At 35.4% G+C, this 7,486-nt stretch overlaps 1 annotated feature.

Moving 5' to 3' along the window:
- Positions 5,100–5,300: a silencer, noted in NCBI's record as "peak1435 fragment used in MPRA reporter construct". NCBI's record gives its function as "represses an SCP1 promoter by STARR-seq MPRAs in K562 erythroleukemia cells {active_cell/tissue: K562}" and the evidence as "EXISTENCE:reporter gene assay evidence [ECO:0000049][PMID:32103011]".

Raw genomic sequence — 7,486 nt, 5'->3', positions numbered from 1 at the left:
CCTCTGCAAAACAGAATATATGGCCATCCTACAAATGAAGGGTGTTTTTATTTTAAACACATGTACATGAGCTTACATGCATATGCACACAGTATGCCATCCTCAGAGATACACGGGATTAAACTCCTAGAAACACAAAAGTTCTATTCATCATCCTTGAGAAAAAGTGAGGTGACTGATTTCTTATATAGTTTACAAATGTTAGACTCCCAAGAAAGCCTGGTGCTGCTCTTAAAGACAGAAAGTTGGATTTTTTGGGGTGACACCTTGTTCCAACGATTACAAAACCAAAAAACTTACTGACTCACCACTATATAAAAGAAATCGAGCTCATCTCTGAAATTCCAAAAAATAAAAATAAAATTCCCTTCCTCTTTCATTTTGTGATCACTATTTCTGAAATTATTAAATTATAACAAACACAAATATGACAAATAAAGAATTTAGCATTTGGCATACTGCTATGGCTGAATTGTGCCTCCAGTATCCTAAAATTTGTATGTTGAAGTGCTAACCACAAGTACCTCAGAATGTGTCGGCATTTGGAGATAAAGCCTTTACATAAGTAACTAAATTAAAATGAGTTCATTAAGGTGGGCACTATTCCAATATAACTGATGTCCTTACAAAAAGAGAAAATCTGGTCACAAACATGTATAAAGAGAAGACAATGTGTGCCGGGCATGGTGGCTCAGGCCTGTATCCCAGCACTTTGGGAGGCCAAGGCGGACGGATCATGAGGTCAAGAGATTCAGACCATCCTGGCCAACATGTTGAAACCCCTCTCTACTAAAAATACAAAAATTAGCTGGGCGTGGTGGCGCAGGTCTGTAGTCTCAGCAACTCAGGAGGCCGAGGTTGCAGTGAGCCAAGATAGCGCCACTGCACTCCAGCCTGGAGACAGAGCGAGACCCCCCTCGCAAAAAAAATAAAATAAAGGCCAGGTGCGGTGGCTCACGCCTGTAATCCCAGCACTTTGGGAGGCCCAGGCGGTTGGATCACGAGGTCAGGAAATCGAGACCATCCTGGCTAACATGGTGAAACCCCATCTCTTCTAAAAAATACAAAAACTTAGCCAGCCGTGGTGGCGGGCCCCTGTAATCCCAGCTACTTGGGAGGCTGAGGCAGGAGAATGGCGTGAACCCGAGAGGCAGAGCTTGCAGTGAGCCGAGATCGCGCCACTGCAACTCCAGCCTAGGTGACAGTGCGAGACACTGTCTCAAAAAAAAAAAAAAAAAAAGAGAGACAATGTGAAGACAAAGGATCAAGACGAACATCTACAACTCAAGGAGAGGATCCTGAAACATGCCCTTTTCACATAGTCATCAGAAAGAATCAATCTTGTTGACACCTTGATCTGTTTCAGCCTTCAGAAATGTGACAACATAAATTTCTGTTGTGTAAGCGTTTTAGTGTGTGATGTTTTTTATAGCAGCCTTAAAAGACTAATATACAATACAAAGTGCATTCCAAGAGTAATTTAATTTCCTTGTTTGTATTCTGTTTTCAAATGTTTACCATGTAATATTTTCTTAACCCAGTAAACACACACATATGCACACACACACAAACATACAATTTTCCAAAGTATATAGAAAAAATTAAAATGAAGATGAAAAATATTACATTTTCTTTTAGTAGCGTCCCATAGAAAAACATGTTTTCGTGCAACTATTCTTGTAGAGAAAGGTTCTTCTAACATAAACACGTGTCAAAATGATAATCATAATAAAAATTATGATGGTGATATTAATGTTAGCTGATTCTTATTAACTGTTTTTAGTGATATAGGCAGTATTCTAAATGTACACATGCACTATCTTATTTAATCTTCAAAACAATTATTTTAATTTTACTACACATTAAATTTTACATTTAATATTACAAATGAGGAGTTAAGACACGGAAAGATTAAGAAACTTTCCCAGTGTCACAAAGAGTATTTGAGTTAAGGAACTCAACATTCACAGACCACGTAGTATCTCTTCTAGCTCTTTGTATGAGACACCCATATATATTTTATGTGTGTATACATATATATATACAATTTAAAGCATATATGTGCATATCTTTTAAAATATACACAAATGTGATTATCTTATATTGAATTATTTTATATCATGGTTTGTTTTTACCACATAAAAATATATCCATATCAGCACATTTAGTTTAATCTTACTTAAAAATATAACTGCATGTTTCATAGTTTACATGTATCATATTTCATTTAAGCTATCTACAAGTGACAGTCATTTAGCTTTATTTAAGCTTTTGTTCCCCACTGTTACAATCAACGCTGTAATAAACAGCAAAAAATTTATCACTTTTTCCATTCCTTATTGACTTTGTGGAATATATGAATACTGTGAAATTTCTGGGTTAACGGTATGTGCATAGAGGATTTGGATAGGTACTGCCAAATCTCCCTTCAAAATCTTAAGGCAATTTAAAATCCCTCCTCAGCACATGATAGTGTCTTTTCCCAAGGTGAAGACTTACATATTGAGTTTGGATCATATTATTTTTTCCACACAGAATGGATTTAAATGGTTTATTGGGATTCCATAAGAGCCAATTTTTTAGAAGTACTATACATTAAATTACACAGAACACCAGGAGTCTTGTTGATTACTTATAGTAACCTTATTATCAGAAGATTGCAGTGTAATTATTGCAATGTTAATTGCATTTCTTCCTTTCTTGATTATCTTAAGAGAAATCTAGCCCACACTCCCTTTCATCATAAGGCAAGTCAGCTCCAATATAACCTACAATTAAATCAAATTCATAATCATGTCTCTTTTCAAGTAATATTATATCCCTTTGTGTTGATTATTTTAATATGGTACAGTCTTCATTTCTCCAGGAATTATATTTTGGCAGCATATTCTAATATCTTGACCCATCATGCATTTACACCTTGATTGAATCTTCTCTGTATTCATAACCTTGATCCCAATTACTTCTTTCAGGATTCTTTCTTATTTCCAAGGCACACTTTGAATTCTGTTGGCCTCATTAGCATAATACCCCTTTGGAATTCGAAGCATTACTTTGTTTGGATGTGCATATTTGAATACAAGTACGTGATGTTGTTTTCTCAAGAACTATAGAGTTTTCATGAAAATGAAGCAAACATAACTACAAATGCAAGGCTATTTAAGAATACTTAATTTATATTATTTTTAATTGAAAAATCATAATTGTATTACATTATGGAGTTCAATGTGATTTGATATATGTGTTTACAATGTGAATTGATTAAATCAAGATAACTAACATAACCAGCACCTCACTTATTAACATTTTTTGTGCTGATACATTTGAAATTTATTTATTAGTTATTGTGAAATACACAATACATTATTATTGACTATAGACACTCTGCTGTGCATTTAGTCTCAAAACTTATTCTTCCTGTATGGCTGAAACAACATACCCTTTGACCAGTAACTCTCCATTCTCTCATTACACACCCCCCTTCATTTTTGGTAAACATCATTTCACTCTCTTCTGTGGATTCAACTTTTTTAAGATTCCATACACAAGGGAGATCATGCAGTATTTGCTGTTCTGTGCTTAGCTAATTTTACTTAGCATAACGTTCTCTAGATTTATCTATGTTATCCCAAATGACAGAATTTTCTTCTTTTTTTAAGACTGAATAGTATTCCATTGTGTATATACATTATACTTTCCCATCCATTTGTCTGCTGATGGACATTTACATTGACCAAGATCGACAAACTGCATTTAAATTGTATTCAAGTTAATGTACAAAAATATAGATAACAACACTTTTGAAAAAAGTCTCCACATTAACCACTAGTGTTTTATATTCTATGCGATAAAACTAGGTATATCCATCACTCCATGTAATCATTCTGTATGATTCCCAGCAGATTTAAGATCAAGGATGGCAGACCTGTGATCAATGGGATAGTGTAGTCCCTATTTATTTAAGTGAAGATTTAATTAATATCTATCATGTGGAGAGCCCTCTGCAAAGTTTGTGAGTAGATCTAGGATCTATAGCTTTCTTATATTTCTTTAAGTAAGACTCTTACTACCAGATTGTATGTACATGAATAACTCTACTTCTGAATGATAAATGTAAAATGCATCAATGAAATTAAAGAAGAAATTTTCTTACAACGAAGAGAAATATCAAAAAACCAAAAGTAATGTTTTTAATATTATGGACTATTCATCAAAACATTATTCTCTATCATAAATGACCTTATTTTGATACAATTCATTTCCTATTTAAAAGAACAACCCAATAATTCATTTCATATTCATTTATTGGGATCTTCTTCTATAAATGCACAATAGATACTGTTCTTCATGTTAAGAATTCAGTGATAAAAATTTTGTGCACTCATGATGACGTGGGAGAGATAAACAACAAAATTAAAAATAAATAAAATGCCAAGTGGTGACATATTTTATGGAGAAAAGTATTTAAGGGATAGGGATGAAGAAATATGAGGGTTGCAAGTTTTCAAAAGATAATCAAGGATGTTCTTCCTGATAAGCTTACATTTTACGACAGACTTAAAGGTTGTCTAGCTGCCCGTCTTATGGATTTCTTTCCCAAGAAAGAGGGTTACCACCTGTGAGAAGGGTGAATATGAAGAAGCAGATATTCCCTTTGTGAATCAAAGAACAAGGAGGCCAATCTATCCAGGGCAAAGTGGGCCAGATGGAGAGTGGCAGGAGATAAATTCAGAGAAGTGGTGAGTAGGAGGATCATGTAGAAGCTTGCTGCTGGATAGATTCTGTTGACTTCCATATTCATGCCCTGTATAATCCCCTCCCTTTGAGTTTGAGGAGAACCTGTAATTTGATTTTCACTATTAGAAGATGGCAAAATAGAGACGCCACTCTGATTTTTACACTTTCATTAAGTGTGTGTGTGTGTGTGTGTATGTTTATGTATGTGTGTGTGTGCATGTGTATAATTTTGCTAGCAGACACTAAAGATTCACCATCTTCATTGTTGGCTTTAAAAAGATAAACAAACATGTTCTTACAGGGCGTATGGAGAGAGTCATGTGTCAAGGAACTACAAGTGACCTTCAGGAGCACAGTGAGATGTTTGTGACAGACAGAACGAAAACAGAGACTTTATTTCTACAACCAACAACAAAGCAGAGATACATTCTGTCAAGAGCTTGTGGGAGCCTGTAAGCAGATTCTTCCCTAGTCAAGTCTCTGATAAGACTACCACTCTGGTCAGCACTAGGGTTTCAGCCTGACAAAATCCTGAAGTGAAGAACCCAGATAACTTGTGTCTAAATGGTCTAAACACATGGTGCATAGGAATTTTGAGATAATAAATATGTGTCATTTTAAACCTACTAAATTTATGCAGCAATAGATAATTAATGGAAGGCTTGTAGGAGTTATAAGGAATTTGTCAGTGCTTTGCTCAGAGTATAATGGAAAGCGTTAGAGGCTTTTGAGCACAGAAGTGTTAACATGTGACTTATGTTTTAAAAGGATTACCTGGCTGGTGTGTTGCAAACAGACAGTGAAAGGAAGGGCAAGGGTAGGGATAGGGGCAGGTGGTTAGAAGATATAATAATAATCTAAGCAAGAGATTTGATGGTATGCGCTCGTGTGGTAGCAAATGAGGAGATTGTGTGAAGTGATACGATTGTCGATTGTATTTTGAAAAAACAGTCTTAGATTAGTATTTTTTTTTAAAGACATGGTCTCACTCTGTCATCCAGACTGGAGGGCAGTGGCACAATCGCAGCTCACTGCAGCCTCAACCTCCTGGATTCAAGTGATCCTCCCACCTCAGCCTCCTACGTATCTGGGACTACAGGCACGCACCACTACATCCAACTAATTTTTGTATTTTTTGTAGAGTTGGGGTTTCTCCTTGTTATCCAGGCAGGTCTCAAAATCCCGGAGTCAAGTGATCCACTTCCCAAAGTGCTGGGATTATAGGCATGAGCCACCATGCCCAGGGAGATGAGTGATTTTGAGAGAAGAGTCAGAAATGCCTCCATGGTATTTAATCTGAGCAACTGAATAATTACGTTTCCATTGGACAAGATAATCATAAAAGATTTATTCATTGTTTACTCCCTGAAAGTGGGTAGCATGAAGTTCATTAATAAACAACTTTATTCATGTCACAGTCATTTCATAATTGATAATGTTGCATGGATTAAGGTTCAAATAATCCATGGTATAACAGAAGTGTTCAGGTACACAGTTAGCCCCTTTTATTACTGCTTTCCTAACACCCGACCTCTGTAACCTAAACACCCAGGGTTCTTTATCTAGTGCTATCTAGTCATGTACCTAGTGCTAAATAAATCTGCTTCTAAGCTCCCTCAGGCTGTTTACAGAAGGCACTCTAGTGTAACACACATTGATAAAGTGTGCTAAAAAGCAAGTAACATCATAACTTTACTCAATATCTACCAAGGTGTTATTTTATGGAGTAAAATAATTTCCCAGATCTCTTAACATGTTCTTACAGGGCGTATGGAGAGAGTCATGTGTCAAGGAACTACAAGTGACCTCCAGGAGCACAGTGAGATGTTTGTGACAGACAGAACGAAAACAGAGACTTCATTTCTACAACCAACAACAAAGCAGAGATGCATTCTGTCAAGAGCTTGTGGGAGCTTGTAAGCAGATTCTTCCTTGAACCTGTTGGCTTCAAACTGTCAAAAAACAAAACAAAACCCAACGTATGTTAGAGTTAATATGCATTTTTATATTTTATTGAAACAATAAAGTGATAATTTACTAGAGGTTTTAACATCAAACGAAAGAATGAAATAAATTTCCTTTATATATGAGTGCCTTATGATTGCTTTCATCTTTCTGAAGCCTTTTTTATACTTTTATATTAAAACATTTTCATATCTAAAAAATGTTATCATTTTTGGAGATATTTTATTTGCTTTTTATTTTTTATTTTTAAATTTTGGGACTATATTATAGGCATATATACTTAAGAGTTACATGAGACATTTTGATAAAGGCATGCAATGCATAATAATCACAACTGGGTAAATGGGGTATCCATCAGCTCAAGCACTTATCCTTTTTGTTACAAACAATCCAATTATAGTCTTTTAGATATTTTTAAATGCACAATTAAATTAGTTTTGACTATAGACACCCTGTTGTGCTAGCAAATAGTAGGCCTTAATCATTCTTTCAAACTATTGTTTTTGTACCCATTAACCATCCTCACCTCCCGTCACCCCTCACCAACCATCTCAGCCTCTGGTGATCATCCTTCCACTCTCTACTTCCATGAGTTAAGTAATTTTAATTTTTAGCTACCACAAATAAGTGAGAACATGTGAAGTTTTCCTTTCTGTGCCTGCCTTATTTCACTTAACATAATGACCACCAGTTCCATCCACATTGTTGCAAATGACAGGATCTCATTCTTTTTATGGCTGAATAGTACTCCATTGTGTATAGGTAGCGCAGTTTCTTTATCCAT

Source organism: Homo sapiens, chromosome 11 (assembly GCF_000001405.40).
Source record: "Homo sapiens chromosome 11, GRCh38.p14 Primary Assembly".
NCBI lineage: Eukaryota > Metazoa > Chordata > Mammalia > Primates > Hominidae > Homo > Homo sapiens.
The sequence above is the reverse complement of the archived record's forward strand: the minus strand, read 5'-3'. Positions and strand labels throughout refer to the sequence as shown.